The 20,621-nt window shown below is 37.1% G+C and overlaps 1 long non-coding RNA gene across 1 annotated transcript; it reads left to right on the plus strand.

Moving 5' to 3' along the window:
* Positions 1–1,636: 1,636 nt before the first annotated feature.
* On the plus strand, positions 1,637–20,306 carry LOC124903778 (uncharacterized). Its single transcript, XR_007065218.1, has 2 exons — positions 1,637–1,800; positions 19,293–20,306. It is a non-coding gene; the product is annotated as an uncharacterized LOC124903778 (long non-coding RNA).
* The last annotated feature ends 315 nt before the right edge of the window (positions 20,307–20,621 follow it).

The following is a 20,621-nucleotide window of genomic DNA, read 5'->3' on the forward strand; positions in this document are numbered from 1 at the left end:
TGGGAAGATGGTCATTTTCCCTCTGATCCCTCCATCATTCTGAAGATCAATCTTTCTGGATTCCAAATCAGCCATGCAACTCTTTGGCTTGAATCTCTTCCATGGTACTCCAAGATGATTTATAATCTAAAATCCTTAGCTGTGATGCCTGACTACCTTTCCAGAATCATATAAGGTCATTTGCTCCTTTTTCAGTCTCTTCCCAGCCATACTGGATTGTATATCTTCTTTCTGCCATGATTTCCCAGGCTTTTCCATCTTTGCATGTGCTTTATCCTCCTCCTGAAATTCCCCATGTTCATCAGTTGAACTGAAAAACATACAATCATTTTTTAATTTTTATTTTATTTATTTATTTATTTATTTTTGAGATGGAGTCTGCTCTTATTGCCCAGGCTGGAGTGCCATGGGTGTGATCTTGGCTCACTGCAACCTCCACTTCCTGGGTTCAAGCAATTCTCCTGCCTCAGCCTCCCGAGTAGCTGGGATTACAGGCATGCACCACTACGCCTGACTAATTTTCTATTTTTAGCAGAGATGGGATTTCTGCATATTGGTCAGGCTGGTCTTGAACTCCCGACCTCAGGTGATCTGCCCACCTCGGTCTCCCAAAGTGCTGGGATTACAGGAGTGAGCCACCATGCCAGGCCGTATTTTTATTTTATTCTTCAACTTTCATTTTAAGTTCTGGGGTACATGTGCAGGATGTGCAGTTTTGTTACAAAGGTAAACGTGTGTCATGGTGGTTTGTTGCACAGATCAACACATCACCTATGTATCAAGCCTAACATCCATTAGCTACTCTCCCAGATGCTCTCCCTCCCCCTACACTTCCCAACAGGCCCAGTATGTGTTATTCCCCCTGATATGTCCACGTGTTTTCATTGTTCAGCTCCCACTTATAAGTGAGAACATGCAGTGTTTGCTTTTCTGTTCCTGCATTAGTTTGCTGAGGATAACAACCTCCAGCTCTATCCATATCCCTGCAAAAGATATGACAGAGATAGGGTGTCACTATGTCACTATGTTACCCAGGCTTGTCTTGATCTCCTGGCCTCAAGCAATCCTCCTGCCTTGGCCTCTCAAAGCATTGGGATTACAGGCATAAGCCACTGTGCCTTGTCTCTTTTGTGAATTCTTGAATGTCATCCTCTGACACCACTCCTTCCTTACCCCCTCCCCCAAAAAGAAAGAAACTCACCCTCTTTTGAGCTACACAGCACAGTGACGACACATTCTGACTCCGTAGACAGATAGGCTCAGCTCCTGACTGGGCCACCTTCTATCCACATCATGTCAGTCTAACCTTAGTTAGCACTCAGGAAAATGGGATGATCATAGTACATCTACCACATTAAGTTGTTGTGAGCATCAGATGAGATTATGTTTGTAAATATTAAGTTCAGCATGTGGCACAGATGATGTGCTTAATAGAGATGGCTCTCTTTTTTTTCGGCTAGAGATGAGGTCTCACCGTGTTGACCAGGCTGGACTGAAGCAGCAGGATCATGGCTCACTGCATCTTCAACCTCCTGGGCTCAAGTGATCCTGCCACCTCAGCCCTCAAGTAGCTGGGACTATAGGTGTATACCACTATGCTCAGCTAATTTTTATTTATTTATTTATTTTTTTGTAGAGATGGAGTCTTGCTATGTTGCCCAGGCTAGTCAACTCCTGACCTTAAGTGATACTACTGCCTTGGTCTCCCAAAGTTTTGGGATTACAGATGCGAGCCGTAGCATCTGGTTGCTGTTTTTAGTAATGATCACTAAACTGGATAGATTACTGGGATCGATGTTGGTAAGTAGTATATTGTAACATAATGACTTGTTTACTGCTATTTTTTTCATAAGACTACAAGTTCCTTTAGTGAAGGAACCACATTTTATTTATTTCCTCATTTCTGTACCTCTTGTCTCAGCACCTAGGGCACAATGCTTTTCAAATGTCTGAATAAATTTCTTTAGAATAGTTTTCTTTTGCTTATGACATTCTCATTTATTGACAACATTAACATCCCTTGTGAAAAGAAATTTTAGAAAGTGGCATTTTAGGGAATAACAACAGTGTTGTACTTCAAAAAGACATTTCTTGGATGCCCATTTAAGTGGAATTACCTCTAGAAACAGTTTCTACACAGCAGGTTGTTAGATTAAACAGGGGACACCGTTGGTTGGAAGGCCCAGGCCGAAGATAGTTTATTGCCTGCTAATTCAGGTAAAGTATACTATCCTAACCATTACACACAGGTACCTCCAAGTACAATAAAAGATGTTGTTACCTTGACAACATCTCCTGATAAAAGGAGAATGACTAGAGTAACTAACTTTTTTTCTTCAAATCAAATGCTTTGTAAAAGACCTCATGCTATCTAGAAGTAAATCAATATTACCTAACAGGGATTTCGCAGGAAATAAAACTTTGAAATGAAGAACACTTGGTAACGTAATTCACATTAGAAGCACTTCTTTGGTGTTTTATATATGGAAGTTACTAAAAATGTTCATTTTCTTTGATCCAATAAGCTTAGTATGAAAATTATTAATATAACAATATAAATGATTTTATTAATAATTGGTAATTACAATTATTGGTATAAATAAATGGTATTTACAGCAGAGTTTGGGCAGGAATATTAAATGAGGAGATTCATGTAATTTCATCTGAAAGCACCTACTATACTCTGTAGCATATATTAGGAACCTATATGTGTTTTCATGTTTTCTTTTGTCTTCTCTCTCCACAGGATGGTTTATTGTCTATCTGAACACAGTTTATTTTGTTGAACATCTATACATATTAAACATTTATAGATGTTTGATATCATTCGCCTAAAATAAAATAAGAAAAAATATATAGATATACACATAGAGAATTTCCCTATAGTTTCTTTCCTCAAGGAACTTGCGGTTTTATAAAAGAAATAACTCGTGAACAAGTCATTATCTTATATCAATTACCAATATTTATCATATTGATCTATGATATTTGATAATCATAATAAAAATCCTTTATTAGGCATACTCACATATAATAAATGTTATTTATACCATAACTAATTGTATATATTTTCATATTTTATATATTTCCTACATACATACAACTTAGGTTTACTATATCATTTTATATATATAATTACTAATTTAATGCTTTTATGTATATATGGTTCTCTCTATATGGATAACTTATATACCTTTACTAATTTTATATATATATATGTGTGTGTGTGTGAATTACACATAGTTATACACACACACAAACCACAGACACTGACACTGATGGTTAGGTTCATTGAAGTACCGTAGTCAACATGTCTCCCAAATTGTAAAATATTTCCACAGACCTAACAAGTTTACCAGTTTTTTTTTACTTTCATTGTGCTAGTTTTAGGGTTCAGCATTGTAATTATTTCATGAATTACATTTCTAGATGAAAAACTATGCCTGTTTAACAAGCAAATTCTAATACAGTGCACTCATTATCATTGTCAAATATCAAATTACATTAAATCTCAGCTAATCTTCCATGACCTTGGCTACCACACTATTAGTGATCATAGAGAACACAGATATAGAATATTCATTTTAAAATATAGACAACACATATTAATAAATAGTAGGGTAAACCACAGCCTTTCAGATGTCACACTGAAATACTTAAGGGTGATCACATTCTCACAAAACCACAGGAGGTGAATTCCTTGCAGTAATGCCTCAGATATTGGGACTGTATTTAGCTAGCTGCACTTTTTCCAAACATGATTGTATTTTAATCATTCTTGTTACAGTAATTAGAACACAAATATTACTTAACAGATGGCCTGAAAGATGAAAATGTGTCAATCAAAAGATTTGGATATGCTTTAACATTTTGCGTGCTTTCGAAAGGTCAAGTCAGTAAGCATCTAGTCACGGACTTTCTGATTTTTTGTTTGTTTGTTTATTTTGAAACAGAGTTTAGCTCTTGTCACCCAGGCTGGAGTGCAGTGGCGAGATCTCGGCTCACTGCAACATCTGCCTCCCGGGTTCAAGCAATTCTCCTGCCTCAGCCTCCAGAGTATCTGGAGTTACAGGCGTCCACCACCATACCTGCTGATTTTTGTATTTTTAGTAGAGACGGTGTTTCACCATAATCCAGGCCGGTCTCGAACTCCTGCCGTCAGGTGATCCACTGGCCTCGGCCTCCCAAAGTGCTGGCATTACAGGCATGAGCCCCGTACCCGGCCTCTAATTTACCAATATTCCTTTGAGGTAAGACTAACTATCACCATTTTACAGACTAGGAAAATGAAGGCCCGTTATAAAAACTGAGCAAAAAGTAACACTTTCTTTGGCTTGATTCCAAAATCTGTGTTTGAAATGAGAAGGAGGCAGAAACCTATATTTACTGGGCACTTATTATTTAGAAGACATCATAGTACTTTCCTTATCCTTTTAAAATAACATATTGAGTTTAAAATATATATTATATTTATGTATAACTATATATAATTATGTACATATAAAATTATGTATATATAAATTTATAATCTTTTCCATTTTTAAGTGTACAGTTTAAATATTTTTACATATATATTTTCACCCTTCATCACACCTCCTACCCTCTCTCTTTCCCAGCCTGTAGTAACCACAAATCTACTTTCTATCTTCATGAGATCCACCTTTTAACTTCTTCATATGGGTGAAAATATGAAATATTTTTCTTTCTGTGCTTGGCTTATTTCATTTAACATAATGACTTCTAGTTCCATCCATGTTGCTACAAATGACAGGATTTCATTCTTTTTATTACTGACTAATATTCCATGAAGTATATGTACCACATTTTCTTTATGCATTAATCTATTGATGGGCACTGATGTTGATTCCATATTTTGACTACTGTGAATAGTGTTGCAATAAACATGGGAGTGCAAATATCTCTTTTTTATATTGATTTCCTTTTTTTTTTTTTGGATGTATGCCCAGTAATGGAATTACTGGATCACACAGAAGTTCCATTTTTAGATTTTTGAGGAACCTCCAAACTGTTCTCTATAGTGGCTGTACTGATTTACATTTCCACCAACAGCGTACGAGGGTTCCCCATTCTCTAATTCTTGCCAGCACCTGTTATTGCTTGTCTTTTTATGCAAGCTGTTTCAACCGGGGTGAGATAATATTGCATTGTGGTATTGATTTGCATTCTCTGATGATTAGAGATATTGAATGTATTTTCATATAAATGTAGGCCATTTGTATGTCTTATTTTGGGAAATGTCTGCTCAGATCTTTTGCCCATTTCTAAATAGAATTATTTGCTTTTTGTTATTGAGTTGTTTGAGCTTCTTATATATTCTGGTCATTAATTCATTGTCAGAGGGATAGTTTGCAAATATTTTCTCTCATTCTGTGTGTTGTCTCTACATTTTGTTGATTGTTTTTTTGCTATTCAGAATCCTTTTAGCTTGACATAATCCCTATTGCCTATTTTTGCTTTGGTTGCCCATGCTTTTGAGGTCTTACACAAAATATCTTGGCTTAGATTAATGTCACAGAGCATTTCTCAAATTTTTCTTCTAGTAACTTCACAGCTTTCGGTCTTGGATTCAAGTCTTTACTTTCATTTGATGTTTGTGTATGGTGAGAGGTAGAGGTCTATTTTTATTCTTTTGCATATAGTTATCCAGTTTTCCTAGCACCATTTATTGAAAAACTACTTTTTTTTCATTGTAAGTTATTGGTGCAAGTTCTTGTTGGAGATGAGTCACTGGTAAATGCACAGGTTTATATCTGGGTTCTCTATTCTGTTTCATTGGTCCATGTGTCTGTTTGTTTTTTTTTTTTTTTATGCCAGTACCATGCCGTTTTGATTACTACAGCTCTGTAATAACTTTTGAAATTAGGTAGCAGTGTGATGCTTCCAGCTTGGTTCTTTTTGCTCAGTATGGCTTTTTCTCTTCAGGGTCTTTTGTAGTTCCATTTCGATTTTAAGATTTCAAAAAAAATTTGTGAAGAATATCATTGGTATTTTACTAGGGATTGCATTAAATCTATAAATTGCTTTGGGTAGTATTGTCATATTAACAGTACTGATTCTTTCAATCCATGAACATGAAATATCATTCTGTTTTTTTGTGTGTGTCCTACTTGTTTCATCAGAGTTTTATAGTCTTCCATGTATAGAGCTTTCACCTCTTTGGTTAGATTGATTCCCAGGCATTTTATATTTTTTGTAGCTATTGTAAATGGGATTGCTTTCTTGACTTCTTTTTCAGATTGTTTGTTGTTAGGGCTTATGCATACTACTGATTTTTGTATGTTGATTATGTGTCTTGCAACTTTACTGAACTTGTTTATCAATTCTAACAGTTTTTTGGTAGAGCTGTTAGGTTTCTCTAAGAATAAGATTATATCTATGAACAAAGCTAATTTGATGTTTTTGTTTCAAATTTGGATGTCCCTTATTAATTTCTCTTGCCTAATTTTTTTGTTTGTTTAAGTGATGGTAAGTATTGCTATCCTTGTTTCATAGTTGAAAACTCCTAGGGCTAAGATGAGTTCAGTGAATCACCTGGGGTCATATGGCAAATAAGTGAAAAAGCCTAAGTCTGCAGCCTTCCTTATGTATTGAAGAACTTTTTTTTTTTTTAAGAACTTCAAAATGACATATCTGAGTTTAGATGTCTAAAATAAGAGCTTTACTCAATATTTGACATGGATTGACAACTCTAATCATCCCAATGATTTTGGTCTGTACATATGCCCTCAAAAATTGAGTCACTGTGGCCTGGCGTGGTGGCTCATGCCTGTAATTCCAGAACTTTGGGAGGCCAAGGCAGGTGGATCAGGAGGTCAGGAGTTCGAGTCCAGCCTGACCAACATGGCGAAACCCTGTCTGCACTAAAAATACAAAATTAGCCAGGTGTGGTGGAGCATGCCTGTAATCCCAGCTACTCGGGAGGCTGAGGGAGGAGAATCACTTGAACTCATGAGGTGGAGGTTGCAGTGAGCCAAGATGGCACCATTGCACTCCAGCCTGGGCGACAGAGCAAGACTCTGTCTCAAAAAAAAAAAAAATTGAATCATTGTTTTCCAGTCCTTGGAGGGCAAGGCAAATATTCCCAAACATCAGACTTTCTATTGATTAATCAGTTATTATTAGCTCATTTACTAGAGATTTTATGATGTGTCAGCCACTATACAAAGTGTTTTGTCAGTATAGTCATGTGCCACATAATGACGTTTTTATTAATGACAGACAGCATATAAGACAGTGATCCCATAAGATTATAATACAAAATTTTTACTGTACCTTTTCTATGTTCATATATGTTTAGATACACAAATACCATTGTGATACAATTTGCTACTGTATTCAGTACAGTAACATCTTGTACAGGTTTGTAGCCTAGGATCAATCAGCTATACCCTAAGCCTGGGTACTTAGCAGGCTATGCTATCATCTAGATTTGTTTGTGTAAACACATTCTATAATATTTGCACAACAATGAAATCACCTAACGACACATTTCTCAGAATGTATTCCCATCGTTAAGCAACACGTGACTGTATTATCTCATTTAATAACCCCAAAGCCCTATGAGGCAATGTGATAGGCAGAATCTAAATACCCTTTTCTTCTCTCTAAAAAATACATTTTCTTTCTTTCTTTCTTTCTTTCTTTCTTTCTTTCTTTCTTTCTTTCTTTCTTTCTTTCTTTCTTTCTTTCGAGACAGGATCTCACTGTCACTCAGACTGGAGTGCAGTGGCACAATCATAGCTCACTGCAGCCTTGAACTCCTGGGCTCAAGTGATCCTCTCCCCTCAGTCTCCCAAAGTTCTAGGAGCCACAGCACCTGGCCCTGAAAAAGTACCTTCTTATACATTAATCTAGCTATTGCTATGAAGGAATTTAGTACATGGAATTAAGATTATTCTTGTAGATGAAAATAAGATTACTAATTAGCTGGCTTCAAAATAGAGAAATTCTTTTGGATAATCTAGGTTGGTCCAATGTAATTATATAAACCCTTAAAAACAGAAGAGGAAGGCAGAAGAGATGAAGAAAAAGGAGGAAAGAGAAATTCAAGGCATGAGAAAAAGTTGACCTGCTGCTGCTGGCTTTGATAATGAAAGACACCAGAAGCCTAGCTCTTCATCACTACAATGGACTCTCCCCTAGCTAATTTTTCTCAAGACTTTATTATTAATTAATTAATGTATTTATTTTTATCATACTTTAAGTTCTGGAGTACATGTGCAGAACGTGCAGGTTTGTTACATAGGTATACATGTGCCATGGTGGTTTGCTGCACCCCTCAACCCGTCATCTACATTAGGTATATAGCCTAATGCTATCCCTCCCCCCGCCCCCCATCCTCAGACAGGCACCGATGTGTGATGTTCCTCTCCCTGTGTCCATGTGTTCTCATTGTTCAACTCCCACTTATGAGTGAGAACATGCGGTGTTTGGCTTTCTGTCCTTGTGTTAGTTTGCTGAGATTGATGGCTTCCAGCTTCATTCATGTCCCTGCAAAGACATGAACTCATCATTTTTTATGGCTGATTAGTATTCCATAATGTATATATGCCACATTTTCTTTATCCAGTCTATCATTGCTGGGCATTTGGGTTGATTCCAAGTCTTTGCTATTGTGAACAGCGCCGCAATAAGCATATGTGTGCACGTGTCTTTATAGTAGCATGATTTATAATCCTTTGGGTATATACCCAGTAATGGGATTGCTAGGTCAAATGGTATTTCTAGTTCTATATCCTTGAGGAATCACTTCAATAAAATACTGGCAAACCGAATACAGCAGTGCATCAAAAAGCTTGTCCACCACGATCAAGCCGGCTTCATCCCTGGGATGCAAGCCTGGTTCAACATATGCAAATCAATAAACGTAATCCATCACATAAAAAGAACCAATGACAAAAACCACATGATTATCTCAATAGATGCAGAAAAGGCCTTCGACAAAATTCAACAGCCCTTCATGATACAAACTCAATAAACTAGGTATTGATGGAATGTATCTCAAAATAATAAGAGCTATTTATGACAAACCCAAGCCAATATCATACTAAATGGGCAAAAACTGGAAGCATTCCTTTTGAAAACTGGCACAGGACAGGGATGCCCTCTCTCACCACTCCTATTCAACATAGTATTGGAAGTTCTGGTCAAGGCAATCAGGCAAGAGAAAGAAATAAAGGGTAATCAATTAGGAAAAGAGGAAGTCAAATTGTCTCTGTTTGCAGATGACATGATTGTGTATTTAGAAAACCCCATCATCTCAGCCCAAAATCTCCTTAAGCTGATAAGCAACTTCAGCAAAGTCTCCGGATACAAAATCAATGTGCAAAAATCACAAGCATTCCTATACTCCAGTAACAGACAAACAGAGAGCCAAATCACGAGTGAACTCCTATTCACAAGTGCTATAAAGAGAATAAAATACCTAGGAATCCAACTTACAAGGGATATGAAGGACCTCTTCAAGGAGAACTACAAACCACTGCTCAATGAAATGAAGACTTTATATATAAGTCATATAATCATACGACTAAGGAACGTGATAGCAGCCTCCAAATATAACATATTTCAAGGCCTCCAAATATAAGGATTTTAAATTATTTTTCTGAACCAAGAGCCTCTGGAACTATAGCAGTGCATGATTCTATTGTTAGTATTACTTTGCTTTGAAAACAAATATTTTGATGTAGATACAATTAAAAAGAAACTCTTGCAAGATCATGTTTATTCTTCAAACCACAGATTCAAATAGTTACTATTTTTTTCCTTCATGTTCACAGTACTGTTAATAAAATTTTCTCCATGGGTTGGTACACTTGAATTGGCATTTTGAGAGACACAGAGGGAGAGATATTGGTGCAAATAGGAAAAGGAATGAAACAGGATATTTATATTGGTTTTAAACATTTTAACATTCATCGTGTGTCATTTTTAACTGACTGATGAAAGGTAAAGATGTCAGAATTTTTCATTTCATGAAACAGCGTGCAGTGTTTGCTATCCTGGAAATTGTTAGTTTTCTAAAGTATAAATATTCTGTTTCATTTTGTTTCCAATTTAGGTTCATGTCTTCCCCATGGCATCTCACGTGGTACAAATCGATATGCGCATTTTTTCAATAATAATAATTTCAATGCTAACTAGGATGTGGTAAGGACTTACCATCACCTGCAAACTTACAATATACTCTCTGCTTCTTGCACACTAAATTGATGAATAAGACCTATTTGTAATTGTGGGTAAGAGATGACAGACAATAAACTTTTTAAAAAGTTTGACTATTAAACAGACATTAAATCAAAAGGAAATTAAATGTTTATTTTTGGGAAAAAAGAGCTCAGATTCTATCTGTATCTTTTGCCAGTGTCCCCTGGTCCTGGTCCAACCTAAGGGAACTATTCTCAGTTCCCTAAAACTTCATATATATGAAATTTTACTTTCATATGCAATTTTTGTATAAAAATTAATATATTTTTATATATTATGTAAAACATTGAAAAGGATATATATTATATATTTTTAATAACTATGGCTCACTCATGCTATTACTTTGGCTGCAAATATAATTGTAGGTTGAATCATTTATTCCCAATTCTTCATTTCTTCCCTTCTCTCTTTTTGCCATGGACTTTTAATAACATCCAACAGAATAGGATGAATTTAACATATGATCCTATGGGTATTGGATTGTCCAAGTGACTCTGGACAATAAAATATGGGTGCAGTTGGCACTATGACATTTCTGGGCTCGGACCTTAAGAGATACCATGGTACCCTGCTCATTCTTTTGCCTTTTTATTGCTGTTAAGAGAAGCACTTCCTTTGTGCAGCTGCTGCCCTTCTGCATGGGTTCCAGAGTAAACGTATGGATTAGGTTTAAACATAGCGCAACAGTAATGAGGAAAGCCCAGCTTTCCCTGTAGCTTGAAGCAGAGCCAACCATCTAGGCTCAGCCAGGATCAGACTACCCCAAAACAACCTGAAAATGGTTAGATGGGTCCAGCAGAGATCATGAGAGTTGGCTCAGCTTAACTACATACAAGGGAAATAATCAATGCTTATTCTTGTATGCCATTGGGATGTTATGACTGTATACCATGCAGCATTGTTGCAGAAATAGCTAACAGATACGAATACCTTTTACCATGTGTATATTTGAGTAAACTATGTTTTAATCTGCCCAAGTCACACCCAAAGTTTTCTCCAACTTTGATCCTTCTCAATCTCAAATGTAGTTTTTTTTGTGTGTGCCCACATGTCCGTAATAATATTCATTATACTTTACTGAAATTTGTTGCTCATGCATTTATCTCTCTCAGTAGAGGATAAGTTACTGGAAGGCAAGGAATGTGTCTTATGTATCTTTGGAGATACAACCTAGCAGAGCACCTCACATGTAGCTGGTGTTTAAATAGACTTTTCTAAATGATGGAATGGATAGATCAATGCCTTTTCCAGTTATTTGATGTCACATGATATTTGGGTATTTAATGTGCTACATATTTATCTGGAAAAGTTTCTAGTTGGAAGGAAGGTGAGACTATCTAAACTATTCAAACATGGGTAGTAATGTCTATTTCTTGTCATCAGTGGAAGCACACTTTGGAGTGAACTCCTAGATTCCAGAAAAATCTGCCTTCTCTTTTTTTTTGCTCCAACGCCATAGAGTGAGCTGAGCTGTAGAGTTTTCCTTCCTAATGGTGTGTAATTTCGTGGTGTTTCACAAATTACAAATTCTGTGATTTCACTCATTATGCATTTTAGCATTAGGAGTTTGGATCTCAGGGTAGGATTGGAAAAACAATGATTGGGCTGCTATTTGCTATGCATGTTAGGAATATAAGGGAATCAACTGAAAGAGGTGGAATCATGACCAGCAAACTTGTGAAGAAAAACAAGTAGAATTGGGGCTTTCTCTTAACTGAGTACCTGACCAAAAATTTGGGGCTGAATTTAAGCCAGAGTAGATCAAATTCTAGGTAGAGACTGTAAAGAGTAGTCGGTACAATGTCAAACAGTTCATAGGACCTCTAGGAAAGCCAGTAATTGATTTCTAGGGTTTTTACTTTCAAACATTTCTAGTTTTGGTAAATTATGATCAGAGTGACATTTGTAATTGTATTAGTCCACTTTCATACTGTTGTGAAGAAATACCTGAGACAGGGTAATTTATAAAGAAAAAGAGATTTAATAGACTAACAGTTGCACATGGCTTAGGAGGCCACACAATCATGGCAGAAGGTGAAGGAGGAGAAAAGGCATGTCTTACATGGTGGCAGGCAAGAGAGTGTGCAGGGGAACTGCCCTTTATAAAACCATCATATCCCATGAGACTTATTCACTATCAGGAGAACAGCACAGGAATAACCTGCCCCCATGATTCAATTACCTCCCACAAGGTCCCTCCCAGGACATGTGGAAATTATAAGAACTACAATTCGAGATGAGATTTGGGTGGGGAGATTTAATACTTTTTTTTTGTTATATTTAAATTATCTTAAATGTTTGTGTGCTTGAGAAAAAGGTGTATTCTTTATTAGCAGGGCATATAGAACAATATATATATAGATTGTGTTGAATAGGTCATCCAAATTCTTGTTTTATTTATATATTTTTGTTTACTCAATGTCTTATACTGATAGCAATTTAAGTCTCCTATTACTAAAGTTTTAACATCTATGATTCTGTGAGTCTCTTGTTTTTTATTTATATAGGTGGTTGCTATGTTATGTGGTGCATAGATGTTTATTCTTATTCATTATGAATTGTCATATTTTCATTAAATATGCTTTTCTTTGAATGTATAATGTGATTAGGTATGTATTCTACTTTTATTATCACTGTCATTACCCCTGCTTTCTTATTGCTTTTTAAATTTTTTTTCTAATATATCTTAACACTTACTCTTTAGTCTTTTTCAATGCAAGTATTCAGTTTCTTTTGTGTGCCTTTTATAAACAGCATATAGCTGAGTCTTTGTAAATCAGATTATAGTTTCTCTCTTTCTCTCTTCTTTCTTTCTCTCTCTCTCTTTTCTTTCTTTCTTTCTTTCTTCTTTTTTTTCTTTTTTGAGACAGAGAGTCTCACTCTGTCACCAAGGCTGAAGGATAGTGTTGTGATCACTACTCACTGCAGCCTCAAACTCCTGGACTCAAGTAATCCTTCCCCATCTATCTCCCAAGTAGCTGGGACTACAGGTGTGCACCACCATGCCTGGATACTTTTTTGATCTTTCATTTTGTTTTGTTTTGAGACGGGGTCTCCCTTTGTTGCCCAGGCTGGTCTCAAAGTCTTGAGCTCAAGCAATGCTCCTGCCTTGGCCTTCCAAAGTGCTGGAATTATAGGCATGAGCTACCATGTCAGGCAAAATCTTTTCTTTTGTAAATAGGTGAGTTAATATTCACAACAGCAAAGACATGGAATCAACCCAAATGCCCATCAATGATAGACTGGATAAAGAAAATGTAGGCTGGGCGCGGTGGCTCACGCCTGTAATCCCAGCACTTTGGGAGGCCAAGGCGGGTGGATCATGAGGTCAGGAGATCGAGACCATCCTGGCTAACAAGGTGAAACCCCGTCTCTACTAAAAATACAGAAAATTAGCCGGGCGCGGTGGCGGGCGCCTGAAGTCCCAGCTACTTGGGAGGCTGAGGCAGGAGAATGGCGTGAACCCGGGAAGCGGAGCTTGCAGTGAGCCGAGATTGCGCCACTGCAGTCCGCAGTCCGGCCTGGGCGACAGAGCGAGACTTAATGTAGTATGTATATACCATGGAATACTATGCAGACATAAAAAGGAATGAGATCATGTCCTTTGCAGGGACATGGATGGAGCTGGAAGCCATTATCCTCAGCAAACTAATGCAGAAACAGAAAACCAAACACCGCATGTTCTCACTTATAAGCAGGAACTGAACAATGAGAACATACGGACACAGGGAGGGGAACAACACACACTGTAACCTGACAGGGGTTGGGGTGTGGGGAGGGAGAACATTAGGAAAAAATAGGTAGTGCATTCTGGGCTTAATACCTAGGTGATGTGTTGATCTGTGCAAAAAACCACCACAGCACACATTTACCTATGTAATAAACATGCACATCTTGCACATGTATACCGGAATTAAACTAAAAATAAAAATTAAAAAATAAATAAATAAAATAAATTGGTGAGTTAAACCCATTAGCATTTATTGAAAAGATTAATGTGTTTGGCCTCAACTCTGCCATATTATCTTAGTTTATAATTAATACTTAGACAAATAGTTTATGTTTTTTCTCTATACAATATATTTTCTTTAATTTTAAAATTTTTAATTTATTATAGTATTTAGGAAGCTTTGTGGTTTTGCTTTATTGAATATCTTATACTTTTTAAAATGCCCTTTATCCCCTATTTTCATGTTCAAAATATTTCCATTTGGTTTGTCATTTATCTGTGACATCCTTTAACTCACATTTATTTCTTATAAAATAGCCAAATCATTTAGTCTACTTTCCATTCTTCTTTACTTTTCTCTTTCCATTTTTCAGTGGCATGATTTCTACTTGGTCAGAATATAAAATGGATAAACTATATATCATATAGCATATTATTCTTTTACTCCCTGCCCACCTTAATCTCTTACAAATGCAATAACTAAGATCAAATGTGAATATCAATTTGTATATTAATAAACTTTGCTCTTTATTAATCCTTTGCTCAGTTTCCCCAGGCATCTTTTGGTTGGATACAGTTTGTGTTCTAGTAGACTTTTCAAGGAGGGCTCACGGTTTCAGAATTCTTCGAGTTCTTTTGTCTAACATTTTTGTAAATAGCCTTGATACTTGATGGACAGTTCTGTTGATAACAAACTGAAGGAAAAAAAAATGTAATGCCAGCTTTATTTCAGGCTTTCTTTCCCAGCATTGATTGAAAATGCTTCTCCTCTTTGCCTCGTTTTGTATTTTGGTCTAAGGCCAATCACTCTTTTTCCCTTGTGAAATATTTTATCTTTCTGCTGAAGGTCCTAAGGATGGTCTAAAAATCTCTACAGACTATGATCTTTACTTGTATATATCATAGAGTTTATCATTGCAGGTCAATTTTTACAGGCACCCCACAGACCCTATAAATATGTTGATACAAATTTTCTTTTATTTCTGGAAAGTGGTCTTGTATAATCATTTTAATCGTTTTGTTTTTTATCTTAGCTTCCTCAGGGACTCTAAATATACAGATGTTATTTTTTCTTTGTCTTCAATTTCAAACATTTTTTCTTACATCATTTTAATTTACTTACCACATTTTCAATGCATTGTTTTCCTGTCTACTTCAGTGCCTTTTTAATGTTTTCATTCAAATTTCTTTTTACCTTAAGTACTGCATAAGTTAGTTGTAATTTCTAATATGACTTTGTCTTTTTTTTTCTGTTTTCTTCCAGGAATCAATCAATTTATATTTTATTTCTTCCTTTTTTTGTCCATTTCTATTTTTGCTTTTTGAAGTTCTGATGCAAATTGTCTTCTCAGTCCATGCTTGGTGGCTCACACCTGTAACCCCAGCACTATGGGAGGCCAAGGCAGGAGGATTGCTTGGGACTAAGAGTTTGAGAGCAACCTGAGCAACATAGTGGGACCCTGTTTCTACAAATAATAATAAGAAGAAAAATAGCCAAGCATGATGACGGGCGCCTATGGTCCCAGCTACTCGAGAGGCTGAGGTGGGAGGATCGCCTGAGCCCGGGGAGTTCGAGGCTGCAGTGAGCTGTGATCCTGCCACTGCATTCTAGCATGGGTGGCAGAGTGAGACCCTGTCTCAAACACACACACACACACACACCTCAAATTATCTTCTCACATCTCCCAATACTTACTTGAATATATTTATTTCAGGTTTGAATGTTATATTTCAGGTATTTAAATATATAGACTGTCTCTCTGTATAAATTCAGTATATATATATGTATTCAGTATATATATATATGTATACACACATTCAGTGTATATATATATATTCAGTATATATATATTCAGTATATATATATTCAGTATATATATATATTCAGTATATATATATATATTCAGTATATATATATATATGAGAGAGAGAGAGAGAGAGAGAGAGAGAGAGAGAGAGAGAGAGAGAGAGAGAGACCCTGACGAACCCCCTCCAGTAGACACTGTTCACTCTGCGTTTCTATGGTCAGACAGTTTTGGAATGGTTTGTAAGATTCCTAGTTCAAGAGTGCCCTCTATCGTCAGAGTAGCAAAGTACGTTTCCTTCCAGTTTGGGAGGAGAGGGAGGGGCTGGGGGAGAGGTTGTGTTTTCTTTGATACCTTTTACTCTATTTTATCTTGCAACATCCTGAACTTTCTCTTCTTGCTTTTCTTTCTTTCCTATGCAGTTTTCAAAGGGTGACTCTCCTTTTCTTTTCACCCATTTCTGCCCACAAAGCCCTTTTTAGCCTTTTTCCTATATTCAGTGCTTTGATCTACTTATATGCTTTTTCATCATTTTCACACAGAAGGTAGACTTTCTCTATATAATATGGCTTTAGGAAAAAATTAAAGACCCAAAGATACCTCTTCGCTTTTCTCTTCAACAGTTTTTTTTTTTTTCAAACTTTACTTGCGTTTTCAAATTCTTCTGGCCAGAAACAGAGAAAGCTGGCAAGAATTGGGCATTATTGTTCTACCTACAGGCAATTACATTTTAGCTGTTCACTCTCTTAATGTTATGTGGGCAGCTTGGATTTCTGTAGTTTTATTTATTCTTGTAGTTCTTTACTGCTTCTGTTACTGCCCTGGTTGGGTACATTAAATTTACAAGCCTGATATTGCCTTGGCAATATCTTAGTCAGTTTCAGCTGCCATAACAAATTACCATAGGCTGGCTAGCTTAGGCAAAAACCACTTATTTCTCACAGTTTTGGAGGCTGGAAGCCTCAGCTCAGGATGTCCGCATCATTCATGCTGGTGAAGGTTCTCTTCCAGTTGCAGACAGCCGACTTCTTGTATCTTTACACGGCACAAAGAGGGCAAGCAAGTAGTTCTCTGATATCTTCTTATAGGGGCATTAATCCCATCCATGAGGGCTCCACCCTCATGACCTAATTACATTCCAAAGGCTCCAACTCTGGATGCCATCCCATTGGGGATTAGAGTCCAACATATAAATTTGGGGGAAACACAAACAGTCATAACAGCTACCTGGAATTACCTGCCTAATAATTTTTTAGTGGGCATTGGGCATAGTGACTCACATTGATGAGGGTCTGGATTGTGTTGTCTTCCTTTAAACACGTTGAATATTGTTTTTTGGAGCAGTTTGAGACTTCCTAGGTTTGCTTGTGTTTAAATATTGTTAGTGTTTGTCTACCATATTTCTTATTCTGGAGACAGTTTTGCCCTGCTACTAAGGTGTGACTCATCTGGTGCCTACTGGATACCCTAGATGTACAAGGAGCCAACTCTACTCTGACTAGTCAGAAGTAAAAAGACTCACAGCCTTATGTGAGCTCTGGGAATTGTTTATATTTTAGCTTTCTGATAGCGTACCTTTGCCTGGGTTTACAAAATTATCCCCTACACATATGCACCTTTGTATTGAATAACATATTCATAAAACATTTTGCAAATTTCTGTAGCTCTCTTTCTGCATAACTCTATCCTTTCCAGTATTCTGCATTAAAAATCTGCCTTAGCCTACCTTAAATCTGATATTTGCCTCCAAATCCCAAGAATATTGCCTAGCGATGCTGGGGTTCCTCCTCCCTGTACTGGATCTAAAAAGTTTTCCAGGCTGAAAGCTGGGGAAACTGTAAGGTTCACTTCATTTATTTCCTGTCTCTCAGGTATAATAATCCTATGCTGTCTGTTCTACAATGTCTGACAAAATTTGTTTCATGAATTTTGTCTAGTTTCCTTGTTTCAATTAAAGACCTGAATCAGTTACCCCATTATATTAAAAGTGGAAAATTTGGACTGCATTAATTTTTAAAAGCTTTATAGCTGACATTAATGTGAAACTAGTTTTAGGAACCACTACTTCAGCTTCATAAGGAGTGATAAGATAAAAGAACATAATGATTATCTTGATAATTGGGAATGCTATAAATAGCTAATAGCCATTGAGTGTTTATTGCACTGTAACTGTTCCAAGAACTTTGAAGATGAATTAATCAATATTTATCTTTCAGGTTCCCTTTAACAATTCAATCAAGTCCAAGTAGAAGTGAAAGCTGGGTGATATATTGGGAAAATATGTGCAGGGACCAGACCTAGGGAATCAAGTTGGACACCAGGACACATATTCTCACTCCTTTCATTTCTCCCATTCCCTCCTCCTCCTGCTGCTCCTCCTCATCCTCCTCCTCCTCCTCCTGCTGAACCTCCTCTCCTCCTTCTTCTTTTTTTTCCTTCTTCTCTCCTCTCCACCTCCCTACACATACACACACACAGTATATATGTTAGTTTGCTTTTGACTGCAAGAAAAACCTTGAATCAACTCAATAAATAATGATGACATGTGTAACTAACGTAATAGCAAGTCCAGAGGTAGAGAAGACACCAGAATGTGTAATTTGGGCAATCATATGTATCATCAAGAATCTTAGTTTAGTTTTGTTTTGTTTTGCTTTGTGTGAGCTCTGACAACTTTGTGTTGTTCAATATGATTTATGGATAACTGCAGTTGTTTCATGAAATACATGGAAACACAGCAACATAGAGAGGGTGGAAAATATTGTCTCTTCTTAATGAGAAAAAAATTCCCTTTTCTTAGTAGAACACTTTTCATTTTCCAAATTCTTTGGTCAGAATTAGGACACGTGCTCATCTCGGAGTCAATTGCTGGCCTGAGTTGAGGGTACATAACCTCCCAGGCACTTCAGGGGGACCTCATCAGCCAAGGTAAATTCTTTGGTGAACCATGCATGTGTGTACAAGGACAAGTCAGAACCCGCAGTAGGGGGAGGGGTTTGCTGTTACAGAAGAGAGGATTGGGCAGAACGCTAACAACAGTGCTGCTTATTATAACCCCCCTTTGACAAATGGTGTATCAGAGGCTCACTGTGTTTAACCAACCTGCTCAGAATAACACAGGCAAGGGTTGGAGGAGGTAAAATTGGAAGCCGCACTGTTTGACTCCAATGTTGAAGCTTTTAATAAATATTCAATAAAATGGCTTTAAAAACAAAAGGGTTATGAACCTATAGTAATATCAGTGATAATGTATCTTAACTCATTTCTCAGATATCTTTAATTAGCAATAATTGTTTGCATTTTCCTTCTAGTAATATGCACATAGGAGTGCCAGGAACCTGCTAGACATCGCCTGTGCTTTGCCCTGTATTTGGAAGCCCATTGGGAAATTTGAAAAGGTCTGAGAAGAATCATCCCGTCTGTTAAGTGATAATTTGAGAAGAAAGAAACATCGTCCTTGAAGTGCAGAGAGTTGCTTCTCTCTTGACACCTTAGAGGCAAGTCCAGGGAGCAGAATTAAGTGACAGTAAAAGGAAAAGATCACATGTATCACAGGAATGAGAAATCCTTATGGCTAAGTCAGCTTTCCACAGTTAGGCTACACTTTGATGTTGGCAAAAGTTTCCCTAGTGGGAGAGACATAGGGAAAAGGGCAGAGGAATAAAGAGACAGCTTCACTTACCCAGTCTAAGTAAAGAGGTGAACAGTTCATCCATCTAATATTTAATATGGGCTTCTCTTGTGAAGAGCTGGAAATGCATTTATTAAAGTCTGCATAAGCAGTTGAGTTATAACCTCCAAAATAAACTGGAAGAAATAAAGGAAAAGAAACTGACTTACTGAAAAGTTTATAAGCCCTCACAGAGAGCCAAGCTGCAAACAAGAATCCATGCAGAGCTGAAGGGATGTCTCCGGGGGATTAGTTGCAGAATTGTTTTCTCTAGTGGATGCTGTAGTGTATGGACCGATTCCTCCATTGATGGCCAAACTACTCATTCCCCCACCTGCTGAGAATCAGAGTGTGGACGGCTGATGACTCATGACTGAGTTCCTTACCAGGAATTAACCTTGACTGGGCCCAAGTGTATGCTCCCTGTCTGGGTTCAAATTAAAATCCAAAACGTAGTCTATGTGGGAGTACAGATACCCAGTCATCATGTCTCAGTTTGGGGCAGCTCTGATGGGTCCTCCCAGTTCTAGAACCAGCTGTAGTCTTTATTGTAATGGCATCATAGTTCAGCTTGCCCTTGCCTAATTCTGCTGCCTTCCTTTCTTCACTGGTGTTCTTTCCCAAACAACTCGGGAATAAATTCCCTGCATGCAAATCTTTGCCTCCAAGTCGGTTTTCTCTGAAACTAGACCTCAGAAACTTCAACATAGTGAAACTCATAGTGAAACCTTATCCTTTGTCTGGGACTGATGGTTTCTCTGGCATGTGGGACATTCAGTCCCTAAAGTGGAAGAGACCCAAGCAAACCGGAATGGTTATTCATTGAACCTCAATGATACAGTTAAAATAGACTGAAAATTCTACTCAAAGATGAGCCAAAAATGTCATGAAAATTCTGTCATCAACATGTGCATGGAAGTCTTTTTCTTTTTCTTTTCTTTTCTTTTTTTTTTTTTTTTGAGATGGAGTC

The sequence above is a fragment of the Homo sapiens genome, chromosome 16, assembly GCF_000001405.40.
Source record: "Homo sapiens chromosome 16, GRCh38.p14 Primary Assembly".
Lineage (NCBI taxonomy): Eukaryota > Metazoa > Chordata > Mammalia > Primates > Hominidae > Homo > Homo sapiens.